Genomic DNA, 20,235 nt, shown 5'->3' with positions numbered 1-20,235 from the left:
GGAATCAGCAATGGGTTCCAAAATAAGGTGGAAAGCGTATTTGTATAGTACCAATGTTTCACAGATTGCCTACTAATTTCAGAGGAAAAAAATCATTTATTTAATAGAGAGCTTCCAGCCACCATCCTAACCAAGGACTCAACCTCAGCATCATGAATAGTGGGAAAACTTGACCTTACATACCTGATGATAATACAAAACACAAAATACATGGCATTACTTCTGAAAGGTTCTCACCATTTAACCTTCATCTAATCACTTCTCTAGTCCTCATTTCAGTTTTCCAACGAAAAGACAGAGGAATATATTTAAGAAAATACCAGGAACCGTAAGACAAATTTAAAATATTTACAATCTATTGACAACTGATTTAATCGCTTTAAAAATGCCATAAAGGGGAAAGAAATGTTGAAGTATTAGAGAAAACTAGGAGTGTCTTTACATACGAAGGATACAAGGGCATCTAGGACATGATATGCATACACAGTTAGTACTTTCTTTGCTTTTTTATATTGATTCATTATATAGCACCTTAAGTATATAGTCTGACTAAAGTTATTTGATCAATGGTAAGAACTCATTTAATCATTCTAACTTCAGAAATCCTAAAATTATTCTGGTGGTTTCTTTCACAAAAAGAAAATTAATTTATCAAAATATTTGTGTCTACAGTCTTGAAGCTTGTAAGATTATGCTGTTTGGCAGAAATTCAGGTAAATGATCTCCTACAAAACTTAGATGGAATCTTGTTTCAAAATCAAAATTATACATATTATTTTGTAAACATTTAGAATAAATTTGAATATTGTTTAAATGTTAGATAACATGAGGAAATTATTGTTAATTTTTAAACTGTGATAATCATATTATTATTACAAGGAAAAGGTCATGTATTTCTTAGGAGATGCAACTGAACTGTCTAGGGTTGGAATGTTTTCTGATTATGATGCAATCACGCTGCAAAACTAATTAAATGAGAAATTTTATAGGCCCAACTGCCTAAAAATAAACAACTACATTCAACAACTCCTGTGTTAAAGGGTAAATATAAACCCCAGAATAACTAAGTTACTTATTAATCAAATAAAGTTCATTCTCTAGATGATCATAGGAAACATAGCAGTAAAATCATCTCTAAAATTTGAATGCTAATAGAGTTTATTTTGTAAACTCATTTATTGTTTTTATATCCTTCTAATATTTCTTTTTTATTGTCTATTTTTTAATTTTTAATTTTTGTGTTTACATAGTAGGTACATGAGGTACATGAGAGATTCTGATATAGGCATACATTGTGTAATAATCACAACAGAGAGAATGGAATATTCATCCTCTCAAGCATTTATCCTTTCGTGTTACAAACAGTCCAATTATATTCTTAGTTATTTTTAAATGTACAACAAAATTGTTGACTGTAGTTGCCCTGTTGTGCTATCAAATACCAGATCTTATTTATTCTAACTATATTTAGTATCCATTAACCATCCCCCACTGCCCCTCCCCCACTACCCTTCATAGTCATTGGTAACCATCAGTCTACTCTCTACCTCCATGAGTTCAATGGCTTTAATTTTTAGCTCCCACATATGGGTGAGAATATATGAAGTTTGTCTTTCTGTGCCTGGCTTATCTCACTTGATATGATGACCTCCAGTTCCATCCATGTTTTTGCAAATGACAGGATCTCATTTATTTATGGCAGAATAGTACTTCCATTGTTTATATGAACTACATTTTGTTTATCAATTTGTCTGTTGATGCACACTTAGGTTGATTCCAAATTTTGGCTCTTATGAATACGGCTGCCAATAAACATGAGAGTGCAGATATCTCTTCGATAAACTGATTTTGTTTTTCGTTTTTCGTATATAACTAGCAGAGGGATTGCTGCATCATACAGACATAGTGTCTGTTTGTGTACCAGTACCATGCTGTTTTGGTTATTGTAGCCTTGTAGTATAGTTTGAAGTCCAGTAGCATGATGCCTCCAGCTTTGTTCCTTTTGCTTAGGATTGTCTTGGCTATATGAGCTTTTTTGGCTCCATATGAATTTTAAAATAGTTTCTTCTAAATCTATGAAAAATGTCAATGGTAATTTAATGGGAATGGCATTGAATCAATAAATTACTTTGGGCAGTATGGTCATTTTTATGATATTGTTTCTTCCTATCCATGAACATAGAATGTTTTTCCATTTGTTTGTGACCTCTCTGGCTTCCTTGAGAGGTGGTTTGTGGTTCTCGTTGAAGAGGTCCTTCACTTCTCTTGTTTAATGGAAATAGCATTGAATCTATAAATCTATAAATTACCAATGGAACAGAATAGAGAACTCAGAAATAAGACTGCAAATCTACATCCATCTGATCTTCAACAAACCTGACAAAAACAAGCAATGGGGAAAGGATTCCCTATTTAATAAATGGTACTGGGAGAACTGCCTAGCCATACACAGAAAATTGAAACTGGCTTTGATCTTGTTACTTGTTATTAGTCTGTTCATATTTTTAATTTCTTCATGATTCAATCTTGGTAGATTGTAAATGCCCAATCTTGATAGATTGTAAGTGCCTAGGAATGTGTCAATTTCTTCTAGGTCTTTTAATTTATTGGCAAATATGTTGCTCATGGTACCCATTAATGATTGTTTGAATATCTGTGGTATTGGCTGTACTGCTTTTTTTCTCAACTCTGATTTTATTTATTTGAGTCTTCTCTCAGTTTTTGTTAGTCTAGCTAAAGGTTTTTCAATTTTGTTTCTCTTAAAAAAAACAACTATTTGTTTCATTGATGTTTCGTATTTTTTTTCATTTCAATTTCATTCATTACTTATTTTTGTCTACAAATTTGGGATTTGGTTTGTTCTTGCTTTTCTTTAAGATGCATTGTTTATTTATTTGAAGTTTTTCCACATTTTTGATGTAGGCGCTCATAGTTATAAAATTCTCTCAGTACTGCTTTCACTGTATCCCATAGGTTTTGATATGTTGTGTTTCCTTATCATTTGTTTCAAGAAAATTTTCAATTTTCTTCTTCATTTTTTCATTGACCCACTGGTCATAGAGAAGCAAACTGTTTAATGTCTATGTGTTTATGTAGTTTCTGAAATTCCTCTTGTTATTTATTTCTAGTTTTATTCCATTGTGTTCAGAGAAAACACTTGATATTATTTCAATTTTTTGAACGTTTTATACTTGTTTTGGACCCTAACAGTGGTGTATTCTTGAGAATCATCAGTGTACTAAGAAGAATATTTATTCTGCAGCCATTGGATGAAACCTCTTGCAAACACCTGTTAGGCACATCTTGTCTACCTGTTGCTTAATTCTACTGATAGATCTGGCACCCAAGCTACAAGACAAAGTACTCCCCACTCTTTCCTCCCCTATCTTCAAGCAGAGGAGTCTCCCCATGGCCACCATCACTCCATTTCCACAGTAAATACTACCCGGTTACCACTGATGTTCACTTAAGGCCCAAAGGCTCTTCAGTCAGCTGTGGCGAATGCTGCTGAGTCTCTCCATTCAGGGCCTGAGTCTCTCCATTCAGGGCACTTGGCTCCCCACTGGCCAAGGGTAGGTCCAGAAATGCTATTCAGGAGCCAAAGACTGGAATCACAGACCCCTGGAGGCTGCTTAGCGTATTACCTAACTGTAGCTGAGCTTGTATGCAAGCTGCTAGACAAAGTTTCCTTTACTCTTTCCTCTCCTTTCCTCAAGCAGAAGGAGTCTCTCCCCATAGCCACCACAGCTGGGAATGTGCTTGGTCACATCTGAAGCCAGCACAATTCTGAGTCTCACCTAAGGCCCACAGGGAGTACTGCCTGGCTACCACTGCTGATTATTCAGGACCTATGGACTCCTTAGTCAGCAGTTGATAAATTCTATCAGGGTTGGGACCTTCTCTTCAAGGCAACAGTTTTCTTTCTGGCCCACGGTGTGTTTATAAATGGTGTCCAGGAACTAGGGCCTGCAATGGGGGCCTTGGGAGTTTGCCTGATGCGTTATTCTACTGTGACTGAACTGGTACTAGGAGGCAAGACAGAAGTTTTCTTTACTATCCCCTCTTCTCTCTTCAAGCACAGGGTGTAAGCCTTTCCCAGAGCTGCGAGCTGTGCTTCCTGGAGTTGTGGGAGAGGTGGCACAGGCACTGTCTTGGCTGCTGCAGCAGGGGTCTCACTACGTCCCATGCACCCCAGGTCCACTGGCTTCTAGCCCAGCACAGTACAAGGACTCGCCTGGGAATTGCAGTCCTTGTGCCCTAGGCTGCCTTTCAAGTTTCTTTCTTTTTTGTCCTTCCTTCCTTCCTTCCTTCCTTCCTTCCTTCCCTCCTTCCTTCCCTCCCTCCTTTCTTTTTCTTTCTTTCTTTCTTTCTTTTTCTTTCTTTCTTCTTTCTTTTTTTCTTTCTCTTTCTGTCTTTCTTTCTTTCTTCTTTCTTTCTTTTTCTTTCTCTTTCTGTCTTTCTTTCTTTCTCTCTTTCTTTCTTTCACTCTCTGTCTCTCTCTCTTTCTTTCTTCTTTTTTATTATTATACTTAAGTTCTGTGATACACGTGCAGAACTTGCAAGTTTGTTACATGCCTGTGCCATGGTACTTTGCTGCACCCATCAACCCATCATCTACATTAGGTATTTCCCCTAATGCTATCCCTCCCCTTGCCCACCAACCCCTGACAGGCCCCAGTGTGTGATGTTCCCCTCCCTGTGCCCATATGTTCTCATTGTTCAACTCCCACTTGAGTGAAAACATGTGGTGTTTGGTTTTCTGCTCCTGTGTTTGTTTGCTGAGAATGGTGGTTTCCAGTTTCATCCATGTCCCTGCAAAGGACATGAACTCATTCTTTTTATGGCTGCATAGTATTCCATGGTGTATATGTGCCACATTTTCTTTATCCAGTCTTACAAGAGCTCCTGAAGGAAAGACTATCAAGTTTCTTTAGGACCCCAGAGTTCTTTAGCCCATGGTGGTAAGGCTTGCCAAAACTAAAGTTCTGACTCCTGGGGTAGATGATTTGCCCCCGGGCTAGTCTAATTACGCTCTCCTGGGTGCTAGCCAGATTTGGTCCTGTGTCACTTTTTGCTGTGACAGGGCAGCAATGGGTTTAAATGCGAAGTCTAAAATGGCCGGGCGTGGTGGTGGGCACCTGTAATCCCAGCTACTCTACTCAGGAGGATGAGGCAGGAGAATCGCTTGAACTCAGGAGGCGGAGGTTGCAGTGAGCCGAGATCACACCACTGCACTCCAGCCTGGGCGACAGAGCGAGACTCTGTCTCTAAATAAATAAATAAAATTAAAAAATGCAAAGTCTCACAATCACTGTACTCTATCTCCTCCAAGTGCACAGATTCTTTCTCCATGCCACCCAGCCACTGCTGAGGGATGGTTGGGGCTGGTGTAGGTAATGCAAGGGTGTTTATTCTAACCTCTTCAGTGCCTTTTTCAGCAATATGAAGTTAAAACCAGGTACTGTGATTGCTCACCTGATTTTTGGTTCTTATGGAGGTGCATTTTTTGTGTGTGGTTAGTTGTTTAATTTGATGTTCCTGTTGGGGGGACGATCACTGGAGGCTTCCATTCAGCCATACTTCTCTGGCTCCTTCTTTCCATGCTAATATGGTTTTTAAAATATCCTTGATTCTTGAAAAATATCTGATGTGGCTATTAAAACATTAGTTTTTACATTTCTTGCTTTGTACTCTGTCAAAATGATATTCTGTTGCTTTGCTTTGTTTTTTGTCATAATCTATCAAATTAATTTGTTTCTTCTCTCTTTAAATGATAGACTTTTTCCTAGAGATCCAATGTAATTTCTTAAACTTGAAGTCTACAAACGTTACTAGAGTTTTTCTCACACAATTTTCCCATGAATTCAGTGAGCCCTTTCAAGTGTTAGAGCTTGATTTTCTCTTATTTCTGGAAATAGTCCTTAAAATGTAGTTTTAAATATTAATGATCTTTTGCACTGTTTTTCTTTTAAAGAGACTTTAGTTATTCATATGTTGGAACCTTCTTCTCTGTCTGCTTTTTTATTACATTATTTTTTATCCAACTTATATTTTTCTGCTTTTTTCATTCTATTTTATATAATTTTACTGTTTCCTTATGTGGAAATCTTGTAATTTACTTTTTATTGGTGGTATGATTTATTATTTTATTTAATTTTGGAGTATAAATATTTCCTATTTTAGTACTTACTATTGTATGTCTATATTCTGAATTTCTACATTTCTGATGAATGATTTTTATATACACATTTATTTAATTATATGTAATTAGTGCCAAAATATCATGTTTCTTGTTTTTTTTTCTTTTCATAGCTCTTTTCTCTTTTTGGAGTTTTATTATTTGTTGTGAAGTTTTGATTCTCAAACTTTTGTTTGAGGTTATTTGCTTCGTGTATGTTTGTTGACTGTTTTGTTTAGAATTTTTCTTCATTGAAAATAATAGGGAGTCCTGTTTGGGAAGAGGCTAGAGAGCAAATGGTTTACTTCCTTGGGTTTTAGTTTGAGCGCCTTGTACTGTTGCTATGATGAAGTGATTAAGCACAACTTTAAAATGTCACAAAAGAGAAAGTAATGTAAAGTCCCCTTTTCTTTTTTTTGTGCCATTTTCCTATGTCTCTTGTTTTAATAGTTCAATAAATCTTAAGATAATTCTTAAAGATTTACAGTCAATAATTGATCTATATACTATACATCTTAGCATAATTAAAACTTGAGATATGTATTTCCTCACTCAAAATAACTGTGAAGTCCTATAAAATAATGTTCTATACAAATATTTTTATCTTTTCTACTTTGAGAAAAATACAGCCCAATAAGCAGAGCACATAAAATAAGACATTGACCATAGCTACAGCAGTGTTGGGCCATATACATTTCACAAATGTAAATTTAGTCTAAACAGTACAATGTGGATAAATAAGTACCTGAGAAAAGTAGTTATATCCTAAGACTAACCGGGAGTAGAGAGTCAATAAGGACTTGGACAGAATAAAAAAGAGCAAGGACAGTTGCAGCACAGATAACACCAAATAAGCTTTACTCTCAGATATCACTGAGAATATCACTAAAAGTGGGAAGATACTGATGATGGAGGGTACTGGCTACTGGAAAACAAAAGAAAATGACTATAAAAATGTTGAGGGCCATTTTTGGGGAGAGGGAAAATACCTTGGAAAGAGAATGTATCCTTTGAAGAAAAACTCAAAATTTAAAAAAACAAACAAACTGCTGAATAAAAGAGTGTTACTGAAAGAAGATGTATTACTTTCTCTTTTGTGACATTTTAAAGTTGTGCTTAATAATTTCATCCAGGTGAAATCAGTCAATAGGATATTTCAAAATGTTAGGGTATTTGTTAGCCTAGATAGTGGTTCTGAATCTTTCTTCATTAGCTCTTGATATGGTTCCCACTAAGATACTTTTTTTTGTTGTTAATAGACATTTCACAAGTTATGTATTTAACCATCCTGAAATTGTGTTTCATAACATTACAAGAGTCAGGGATTCTGTGACCTCTTTTGCAGGAAAGAACAATTTCCTATCCAGAGATAACCAGCTTAAGAAGTTATTCAGAGGTTATATATATCTGTTAAGCTAAAGTAAGTAACAAGTAATTGACAAAGTCTAGTCTATAGTTATTACTGGTTGTCCTCACTTGTTGGTATTTTTTAAAGACACATAATGAAGCATTTGTTATTATCCTAGAGAAATCTGTGATCATTTTAAATGTATGAAAATATGGTTCTCTAATTTGTTGTTTTTCTCAATCTACATCTATTTATCTTTCCACCATACTGATACGTTCATCATCTCTCATTCCTCTAGTTTAAAAGCATTATTATTTTAGAAACAGAGGCATCATCATAAGATATTAAAGATTGAACTTAATCCTTATAGAGAGGTCTTCTTGAGGGTGGCAGACAACGCTAATGCCTCTAAACTTAATATCCTTAGTGTCTGTTTAAAACCACAATACAATTTGAACTTCGCAAAATGGTTAATAAACAATAAGATTGCTTTTGGTCAAAAACGTTACCTATTTGTTTATTTCAGGGTTTTTTTTTTTGGATTAAATGTATGTCTCTGTTCTCTGTGACTTACATAGCAAGTTCATTACGCTGTTCTAATATTTCTAAGGATTCACAACAGTTGAATAGTATTTTTAGAATGCATAAATAGATAAATTTACTACAAATGCTCAATTTCTAGAATGTCATTTTTTCTTTGTATCTTTCAAAACATATATTTAAATTTATGTATTTAAATTTTAGACTCTGAAATTTTTATATAGTTACAGCCACATCACTTTTTCCAATGAGAATTTATACTCTGTAGTGTATTTTTTAACCCAAAGGTATAAAAATTATAGCTTATATTTTCAAAGACTATTTATCGAGTATAGCTGATTCACAATAAAACTTGCAATAGGAGAAAAAACCATATGTAAATAGATAGCATCCATAGAAAATAATGACTGTTAACTACTCTTTAGAAATATTAGTGAGGTAACTGTAATCAAGTGACACAACTGATACTTTCTAAGATTCATTTCAAATAGAAAATGCAAATTTTGAATATGTTTTATTTCTGTCCTAAGTCATAAATATACAAAAGTGTCCCTGAGAATTTACTTATAAAGCAAACTTTTCTTGAGCATTTAGAACATTTATTTAAAACTTGAGTATTTAAACAAGTATTTATTTTAAAAAATTGCTGTTAGCAATGATATTAAATGTCAACATAACTAAGCTTATAATGTGACCGTTTCTGTAAAATCTTTATACAAATACTGTATTATTGGATTTTTGCATGATCGTAGCTCATGTTCTTGCCTCTTCTAATGTATAGAGAATATTTTCATCATAAAGCTATCAGCTCAAATGCATGGCTACCCTTAAGGCCTAGAAGAATTAAGACAACAGACATCTGGAACTCCCCATTAATACAGGCAAGTGTTTAAGAAAATGTAGTCACTAGATGGTTTTGCCAAATTATAGCAATTTATGGTCTTTACTGCTTCTACACAACCCATTCAGTATACACACACACACACACACACACACATTATGTTAATAGTAAGTAGATATTAACACATTTCTATCCAATTAAATTGCAGGGCATTTCCACCAAAAATTTTGTTACAAACTGGTTAAGGTATGCATTTCATAGGATGACATCAGAAAATATCCTGTTAATTAACTAGCAAACACCTACATTGTTGTTAAGCTAAATGTTGGGTAAAGCCATTGATCCTTATTTTTCTTGGATCAGCTTTTATAGTAGTCTCTGAGAATACCAAAATGAAAAATATACTGTCTTTGTCCTCTAGAAGAATTTACAAATTAATCACAAAATGATTACATTAACTGACTAATAACTGGTTTTGCTTTCCCAAGGTGAAGCTAAAGATGAATAACTCAAACAGCATATCTTTAGAGCTTAGATATTTAGTTCAAATATAATTTATATAAATCTAAGCAAAAAAGCCATATTAAATCGCTGTCTAATGATCTAATTTAATTCACTTTAATATGCATTTGTATTATGTAACATTCCTTGAATATATATCAGAAATGAGATAAGACTAGCAGGGTGATTTTAATTGTGGTGGGGGGGGGTGATATTTGGGTTGTAGGGGTAGCGCTGCAAAGAGTAATCAGCCCCAAGAAAGAAAAATGTTCTAACATCACTAAGGTCTCCATTCAGAAAACTATATGAAAAGTCAAACTTCAAAATATTTTTGTGGGAGGTAGAGGAGGTTGAATAGTCCATTAGGTTCTGAATCCCAAAATAAAATTGATAAAGCTTAGGTTGCTAAATCATAGCAAGTTGTTCACAAATGCAAGCTTCAGAACACTAGGTGGAGGCAAAAAGAGGTAGTGGAACAAGAAATAGTCAATTTTCATATTCTTACCAATAAAAGTAGCAGGGCTTCAGAGTTAGTAGACCAGACAAGTGTATTATTAAATGCGTGCTTTTTAAAAATTTTATGGACACAAAACATATTTTACACACACCTTTAAAAACAGATCAGTAACTCTGAAGGAAAACACAAACATTATTAGCTAGGCATGGTGGCATGCACCTGTACTTCCAGCTGCTCAGGAGGCTTAGGCATGAGAATCGCTTGAGTCAGGGAGGCTGAGGTTGCAGTGAGCCGAGATTGTACCACTGCACTCCAGCCTGGGTGATGGGCAATACTTCATCTCAAAAGAAAAACAACAACAACATAAAAAACCCACAAGCATTAACAGCATTAATAGTAGAGGTTTTCTCAGGAGAGGAGAACTAGGTGATTGGGGGAGAGCAAAGAGAGACTTTTCCTTGTAGATTTAGAAAACAATATTTGAATTTCCTACTGCATCTGTACACTACATGCATACTTGTGTTTTTAAAAAGTGCATTAGTGAAAATATATACTTCATGGAAATACTCTTCCACATAATTTATGTATCCACAAATAGGAAATATAGATGATAGATAGATAGATAGATAGATAGATAGATAGATAGATAGATATCATAAGGTCTTATGTAACTGCTGAGATGTGTTCTGAGTTCTTGACAATTATCACTTTCAGTTGTCATTTAATACTATTTTGGAAATAAGTTTTTGTTTATTTGTTTAATTTTATTTTAGTTCTTAAAAATCAGCCAACCACCCAACTATGGGATGGAAATAACATCTTTTGACCCCATCAAGAATCCATAATGCTGGTGGGTCAGTCGGAGACCTCATTAATATCAGCTTCAGTAAAGAGAGGTTTCAATCTTAAGAAGCTCATAGCTGGGCTGATGTTGCCACGGCTCTACTGCCACTGACTATGAGGTTCCCTGATGACAGGGCTTTATTTCTGTGACGTCATCATGTGTGTGTCTCCCTGATAGTGCCTAGACCCTCTTGACCTCAACTCCCTATCCAGATATGTGACATAAGTAAACCCCATTTGTCAGAAAGGGTAGAAAAAGACATATTTATATTTTAGCTATCTCTACAGAATGGCCCAACAAGGGAGTAAGTGTTTGGGATTGCGTGTAGTTTGAGCTTGCAGTGCCCACGCCAGCTGGTGGGTAAAACTGCTAGCACTAGAAACTTTCCAAAAGCTACAGAATTACTGTTCCTACTCCTGAATGAGATGTTGTGCACAAACAAAGATCTAATTTGTAAGAAGGAAAAAGATTGAGATAATGGCAACAACTCAAGATGGGATTTGAAAATTAATATCTATAAACACATGCTTTGGTTAATCATGTTTGCCTGCAAGGTGGTTAACATTAGCACTTGTGATCATGACCTAGGTGAAGTACTGCTAAAATACAATATTAAGTTTCAGAGCAGTTATTTTTCTTTTATTACCATGATATCAGTTATACACATTAATGAAAGGAGCATATAGCTTTAGTAAAATATATATTACCTTTATAATGATAGATATATAGAACTTTTTGAAAAAAATGACTGACTGCTCTTTTATTTTAAGTATTCTTATATCCTGGGCATGATCATAATTATGTCATATTTACTAATTATTAATATTCTATATTTAAAACAATATCTGAATTTAAACCTGTGAATATTTACTATTATGCTCTCATTTTCTTTCTTTTCTTAAATTAGTAACATTTGTTTTATTTTAAAATAACAGTTTTATAAAATATAATTTGCTGTTTTCAAATACATATAAATGAGAATTGATTACTGCAGTCAAGCTAATTAGCGTATCCATCACCTCATATAATCACCTTTTGTTCTCTGTGTGGCGAGAACATTCAAAATTTACTTACTTAGCAATTATCAAGTGTAGACGCAGTATTAACTATAGTCACCATTATGTATATCAGATCTCTAGAATTTATTAATCTTACACAACTGAAAGCTTGTACCCTTTAATCAACTTCTCTCCATTTTCTCCCACTTTTTGCAACCATCATTTTGCTCTCTACTTTTATGAATTTGACTATTTGATTATTAGATTCCATATATATGTTAGGTTATGCAGTGTTTTTCTTTCTGTATCTGGCTTATTTCACTCAGCATGTCCCAGTGCTCATCCATGTTGTGAATGGCAGAATTTTCTTTCATTTTAAGGCTGAATAATACTCAATTGTACACACATGTGTACCCCCTTTTCTTTATCCATGCATCTTTCAATGGACACATAGGTTGTTTACATATCTTGGGTATTGTGAATAATGCTGCACTGAATGTAGCAGTGCAGATATCTTTTCTAGATATTGATTTCATTTCCTTTAAATATACCAAGTGATGGGATTGCTGGGTCATATGGTAAAAAAGTTTCGTTTTTTTTTTAATTTTTTTGAGGAAATTTCATTCTGATTCTCGTAATGGATGTACTAATTTACATTCCCATCAACAGTGTACAAGGGTTCCCTTTTTGCCACACAAGACTTCCACAATGCTTACATCAATTCACTTAATAGTGTTCCATAAATCCCATAGATATTCTCTACTCTTTTTTATTATTTTTCCTACTATGTCAGGATAATTTCAAGTATTCTGTCTTTGAATTTGTTTAGTATTTCTTCTGCTTGATCGAATGTGTCATTGAAGCTCTCTATATAATTTTCATTTTAGTCATTGTATTCTTCCACACCAGAAATTAGTTCTTTTTATGATTTCTGTCACATTTTTGAAAGCAAGGCTATAAGGAACAAAGAAAAACAGAGATACATGACATTGCCAAAATAATGTGATAATTCCCCAGTAACTGACCCCAAATTAATGGGATTGTATGATTTCCAGACAAATAATTGAAAATAATTGTTGTAAAGAAGTTCAGCAAACTACAAGAGAACATTAATAGCAAATTCAGTGAAATCAGAAAAAAATAATCCATGAACCAAACAGCATGAGTTCAATGCAGTGGTTCTGGCTCTGGGCAGTGCCAGTGGCTTGGTTTGACATCAGTGAAGATTAGGTGAGTCTTCTGTGGCAGTAGCTATGGTGGCTGGGATCCACTGTGTCAAAGGCTGCTGAGGTTCCCTGCTCCCCTTCTCAATCCAGGGGGGAATTTTTGACTGAGGGGATTTATCTTGGTGCTGCACCAGCCTGGAGAGGTGGGGTGATGCAGACAAAATACCTTCTTCTCCTTTATATGCAGTCATCCCTGGTCTCTGTACTGCACCAGCCTGGCGGCGAGGGAGGTGGTGATACAGACAAATATTTTCTTCTTCTTTATATGCACCCATCCCTGGTCTCTGTACTCCTCTGTGTTGCTGTAGCCTTCTAACAGCACTCCAGCAATATTCCAGAGCTCATCATTCTCATTTTTGAATAGTTGACCTCATTGTTGTTTTTGTGTAGGATGAGGAAGAAAGACAGACTATAAACCAGTAATTCTCATGGACATTGAAGCAAAAATTATCAATAAAATACCTTGAAATACATTAAAAAGATAAAATATCATAATTAATTGTATTTAACTTGAGAATGCTGGGCTATTTGGATTTCAACAAAATCAACCAACACAATTCAGCCTATTAACAGAGTAAAGATGAACACCAGGGATTCTTCTTGCTTGAAAACGAAATTGATCTCCTTGTGGCATTAAATGGCCAATAGTATGAGATTGTGAAAGTATTTTAAGGCCAACCACCAAAATAATGTTTCATGCTATTAATAATTTGTGAAGCTTTCTGAAACATATTAAATTGTAGGTTTAAACAGGCTTAGAAAGCCAAGCCACTGCTTGATTTTTCATCATGATTATTCTATAAGTTAGATTTTGTTGTTGTTGTTGTTTTGAGATGGATTCTCACTCTGTCGCCCAGGCTGGAGTGCAGTGGCGCAATCTAGGCTCACTGCAACCTCTGCCTCCCCGGTTCAAGTGACTCTCCTGCCTTAGCCTCCCGAGTAGCTGAGGCTACAGGTGCGTGCCACCACACCCAGCTAATTTTTTGTATTTTCAGTAGAGACAGGGTTTCAACAAGTTAGCCAGGATGGTCTCCATCTCCTGACCTCGTGATCTACCCACCTGGGCCACCCAAAGTGCTGGGATTGTTTTCTTTAGTTGTCCTTCACCTTAAGTTTCCAGCAAAATGAATGTGCTAATATTGTCTCATTTTGTTAATCAAACTGGCCTACGTTTTAATACAGTTGAATTAAAACCCAAAATTAGTCTGCCAGAAGTAACAGTTTTCTGAGGGAAAAGAAAACAAAACAAAACCTGCTAAAAAAAAATTTAAATATCTACTGTAAAATTTTGCTTTCATTTTTGCAACAAAAGTACCCTTCTTTTCAGCTAAACAACTAATTTTATGAAAACTAGTGTACTTAGAATAATTTCATTTGAAATAATAGTAAGCCAGATAGAAATCAATATAGGTAGCAAAAACTGAGACAGTTTCATGTACACTTGGGAAAAAATATGTATTCTCCTGTTTCAGTGGAGTGTTCCATATTTTTTCTTTTATGCCTAGCTAGTTTATAGTGTTGATCAAGTCCTCTGTTTTCTTGCTGTTTTTTTGCCTAGTTTTTCTGTTATTGAAAGTGTGATATTGAAGTCTTCTAATACTGTAGAGCTGTTAACTTCTCCCTTCAATTCTGTGATTGTCATATATATATATATGTGTGTGTGTATATATATATGTGTTTATAATTCATCTTCTTGATGGATTTTTCCTTTCATCATTATGTAATGTCTGGACCTTCTTTGTCTCTGATAACCATTTTTACTTAAAGTCTGTTTTATCTGATAGTAGGTACCACTGGTTCTAGTTTGGTTATTATTTGCATAGAGTATCTGTCTCCATCCTTTCACTTCCACCTCTTTGTGTTTTGGAATTTAAATGGAGTCTCTTGTAGGTGTATTGTAGGATCATGCTTTTTAAATCCACTATGTTATTCTCTACCTTTTAATTGGAGAGTTTAATTCACATGCATTTAAATTAATGGCAGATAAGTAAAAACTTCTGCCATTTTGTTATTTGCTCCCCATGTCATTTTATTTTGTTCCACAAATTCCTGTATTACTGCTTCTTTGTGTTTAAGTAATTTTTTGTAGTGTACCCTTTCGATTTCTTTCTCACTTACTTTTCCATATATATTTTTAGTTAATTTCTTCGTGGTTACCCATGGATTACAATTAACCTCTTCAAAGTATAGCAATTTATTTTGAATTGATACCAATTAGCCTTAGTAGTGTACATAAACTCTGCCCCTACACAGGTCATCTCTCATTGCTTATGTGGTTGTTGTTACAAATTAAATCATTATGCGTTATGTTCCCAATAATATAGATTTATGATTATTTTAAGTATTTGTATTTAAATCCTGTAGGAAATGAAGAGTGAAGTTTCAAACCAAAAAAATAATACTGGCTCTTATATTTGCCCATGTCTTACCTTTAACAGAGACTTTTTTTTTCTTCATACAGCTTTGTTTTTGTTGTTGTTGTTTTGTTTGTTTGTTTTTGTTTTGAGACAAAGTCTTGCTCTGTTGCCCAGGCTGGAGTGCAGTGGAACGATCTCAGCTCACTGCATCCTCCACCACCTGGGTTCAACCTCCGCCTCCTGGGTTCAAACAATTCTCCTGCCTCAACCTCCCAAGTAGCTGGGATTACAGGCACATGCCACCATGCCTAATTTTTTAATTTTTAGTAGAGACAGAGTTTCACCATGTTGGCCAGGCTGGTCTTGAACTCCTGACCTCAGGTGATCTGTGCACCTCAGCCTCCCAAAGTGCTGGGACTACAGACATGAGCCACCATGCCTAACTTCTTCATATAGCTTTGAGTTACTGTCTTGTATCTTTTTATTTCAACCAGAAGAACCACCTTTAGCATTTTTTATAGGGCTGCTCCAGTGATACAAATTCCCTTAGCTTTTGTTCATCTTTTATTTGGAAAAATCTTAATTTCTCCCTCATTTTTGAATGATAGTTTTGCTGGATATAGGATTCTTGTTTGATAGTCTCCGTTTTTTCACAGCACATAGAATATGCCATCCCACTGTCGTCTGACATCTATAGCTTCTGGTGAAAAATAGACTGTAGGTCTTACTGGGGAGCCTTAGTGCATGCTTTATATGCTTCTGTCTTTGTCTTTGCTTTCAGCAGTGTGATTATAATGTATTTTAGAGTCAATCATTTTGAGTTTATCCTGCTTAGAATTTGTTGAGCTTTTAGAATGTATAGATTTATGACTTTCATCAAATTTAAATGTTATCAGCCATTATTTCTCTTAATATTATTTCTGCCTCTTCAACTCTCTTTCTGAGGCTCTTATTATATATATGTTGGTATAACTGATAATATTCCCAAAGTCTTTTAGTCTCTGTTCAGTTTTATTTTTTTGTTATTCTGGATCTCAGAATGTATAGTGTAAGTTAACCAATTTTCAGATTTGTTGATTATTTCTTTAGCCTGCCAGTATCTGCTGATGAACCTCTTCAGTTAATTTTTCATTTCAATTATTGTCAGCTATAGAATTTGTTTCATTACCTTTTTAATAATTTATGTCCACTCATATTCTGTGTTTCTTAAGACATCATTCTTCCAAGATCCTATTGTCTTTTGTTCATTGTTTTCTTTAGTTGGCTGAGTCTATTTTGAGAGTGTTTGTCAAGCAAGTTCAATGTCTGTGCTTCCTCTGGGAAAGCCTCTCTTAGTATCTCCTAGAAATGGGTCTGTCTTTCTTTCTTTCTTTCTTTCTTTCTTTCTTTCTTTCTTTCTTTCTTTCTTTCTTTCTTTCTTTCTTTCTTTCTTTCTCTTTCTCTTCTTCCTTTCTTTCTTTCCTTCCTTCCTTCTTTCTTTCTCTCTCTCTCTCTCTCTCTTTCTTTCTTTCTTTCTCAATTCCTTATTGAAAACTGGGCATTTTGAATATTATAATATGGCATCTCTGAAAATTATATTCATCCTCCTCCTTGGGGTTTGCTTTTATTACTTTGCATAAGTAGTTCTTTGTTCAGTAACTTTTCTAAATTACTCTTGTAAATCCTTTATTCTTCTTGTTATGTGTAGTCTCTTAATTCTCTGGTCATTTAGCTATACGCAGCTCATTTTGGACAGGGATTTGCTTGAACACCAGGAAGAAGAAAAATAATTTTTAATTATCCACATATATTTTCTCCTTGAGTTGTCCTCTGAGGCTTTCAGTGTACCTATAATTTGCTCAACTGTACCTTTTTCCAATGTTGCAGTGGATTTTTCATTTGAATTAAAATATCTTCAAGGGATACCTTCTGTTATAGCCACATTTCCACCCTCTGTGATTTCTGAGCTAGACAAAACAAAAGCAGGCACCTTGGGTTATTCTTTCAGTTGACTGCCAGATTAAGTAATAATGGAAAAACACAATTATTTGGGAATAACATATACTCTCTTCCTTTCAGAACCAGTGACCAAAATTACAAATTGGGAATATGAGCTGTGGTTTTCAAAATAGCTGCTGCAAAGCAGAGGGTATTGGGCCAAAGACAAGGACAAATTCCACAAAGTTATCTGACCAAGTTTAATTTACCTTTTCCTTAATTCAGCATCTGCCGGTTGTGGTTGCTGTAAACCTTTGACTCTTTGCCAAAGTTGGAACAAATGTGAAAGTGGAGTCTGATGGTTGCACTCATTTTTTCAATATTTATCTGGAGAGAAGGGCTCTTGGAGCTACATACTCCATTATCATCACTCCTGAAAAGCTGCTTTTTAAAATTTTATTTTCTTTCCTATTATTTGTTGCTTTCCACAAATGCAGGAGTTGTTTTTTTTTTTAACATATGTGTGTCACAGTCTCTTTATACATGTAAAATTCTTTCAGTTACTAGAAAAAATAAAATCCAAGCTGTGTACATTAAAAAATACTTAAGATTGCATTTAAAAACAGATTTGCAAAGTTTGCAATGAAATTAACATAGCATTCTAAAAGTTTTCTGCTGTGGACAAGATATAAATAATAAAAGATAATTTTTTTTTACCTAGTATTTGGGTAAAACTAAAGATATAGTTAGATACTGTAGAAACAATATAAATAATAAAAGATACAGTAGAAATAATAAAAGATAATCTGTTATAATTTAACAGTATTATTTCATAACACTGTTATTATCCTGAGTAGAAATAGTAAAAGATAATCTAATTTTACCTAGTATTTTGGGTGAAACTGAAAATATAGTTAGAACAGTAGAAACAATAAAAAGGTGCAAATAAATAAAAGAGTTAATTATAAAAGCATTGTTTTCACAGCTGTAAAAAAAGTTGAATACAAATCATGGGTTATCTTTATTTCAATTTTTTAAAATAAGGTATAACAATACAACTTTATATATGTACTTATTTTATGGAAGTTGTGTTTCTTTTTTAAACTTTTAAGTTCAGGGGAATACGTGTGGGTTTGTTATATAGGTAAACTTGTGTCATAGGGGTTTGATGTACAGATTATTTTGTCACCCAAGTATTAAGCCTAGTACTCATTATATATTTTTCCTGATTCTATTCCTCTCCCGCTTTCCACCCTCTGGTAGTCCCCAGTGTCCATTGTTCCCTGCTATATATCCCTGTGTTCTCATCTTTTAGCTCCCATATGTGAATGAGAACCTTGGTTATTTGGTTTTCTGTTTCTGTGTTAGTTTGCTAAGAATAATGGCCTTCAGCTCCATCCATGTTCCAGCAAACCACCATGGCACATCACTGACTATTGGAAAAATGCAAATCAAAATCACAATGGGAAATTGTGTTTCCACGGAAAATTATCTGTCCTCTAGAACTGTGCATCCTTTCTGTATTCTCAGATCTAGCTTTGTTCATTGTTTCGGGGATATTTTGGTACACTTTGTAAATTGTAGTTACCTGATAATTATGTAAATTATATTCTATATGGTACGAATTTAATTGACTTATCCCCCTTCTGTGAAATAACCAGCATTGTTTCCATTTGCAATACTTTTCAGTATTCCTTTTCTCTAGTTTTGTGCTTTTTGATTTTCCCTAATATCAGTAATTACACCTGCTGAGTTATCTCATGTCATGTGATTAAAATAGAATTTTTAAATATGTTTACCTTTTATATGTGCATAAAAATCATGATTTTATCTTCTTCCTAAACATTATCTTTTAACATTATAAACATAAGCATGTATAGATATAGATAGACATGTATTTGGAAAAACAAGATAATTTTTATATATGTGTACATATATGTATTATTTATGTATTCACATATATAAGCATTTTATACCCACACATACATATTGCTATGCTAGATAGATTGATATAGATGAATATTCTAGCATGAGATGGAGTCCCTTTCTTCTTTTACAATTTTATAACTTCAACCCCTCTTTTGTATCTTTTCTTCACCAATTTAACTACTTTATTTTTAAAAAATAAGTTGCATATTTGTCAAGCTTGGAGTGAACTTGGTATAAAGATAAATTCTCTTGTAAATGTTGTTCTTCGAAAATATTTAGACTCATTTCTAAGCTTTCTATATAGAGGGTAATGGTGAGTCAGAAGGGAAGTATAATGGCCTTTATCTACATTGGTAGAAGTTCATCCCTCTGGGATGATGTAACCCTCAAAGGATAAAGCTTATTCAGAAAAGCAGGGGTCAGATTTTGGCTCCAACTTACTTGTTTTAACCTGAAGCCTTGTGCAGAAATCAGAAATTTAACTGACTTAATCGAGTTTTAGAATTCATAAGTATTATTAATTTCTTGGTAATGTTAATGTGCAGAGACACCTGAAGGTGAATATAAATGTGCTACTTTTCTACAACATCAAGGCTATGGTGAAAACAAACCCCAGACAAAATTATTTCCATTTCTTTGACTTTTATTAGCAAAACAGGAGTTAGTAGACAAAATCAGTCTAGAAGCTACCTGAAGTCTCAGTCTCTGCCTATTCTGTTACTCACAGAGCGTCTAGAATGAAAAGGTCCCTCAAGGCAAACCGGCCTATTGAGCAATAGCCAAAACTCAATTAACCATCTAATCAGGTTCAGGTGATAGCCGTTTTAGGGATCGCAGCTGAGCTGTTTTCCCTACGACTAAAGGTGAAAAAGCTAAAATCTTCTATCCAGTTTAGGTCAATAATTTAACCAGTGAAAACCACGTGTAATGCCCATTATGGTTATTATTATCAAAACATTAATTTCAGCAACAAAAAGTCATCCTTAATATATTAAATATATGCTGCTAATTAGAAAGGACCCTTTTCTTCATTAATGAGAAAGCAAAGGGAAACACTTCTAAGAGCTCATCCTTGAGTGGATCTCCTTATTGAATGCCA

Source organism: Homo sapiens, chromosome 18 (assembly GCF_000001405.40).
Source record: "Homo sapiens chromosome 18, GRCh38.p14 Primary Assembly".
Classification (NCBI taxonomy): Eukaryota; Metazoa; Chordata; class Mammalia; order Primates; family Hominidae; genus Homo; species Homo sapiens.
This window is presented reverse-complemented; position numbering follows the sequence as displayed.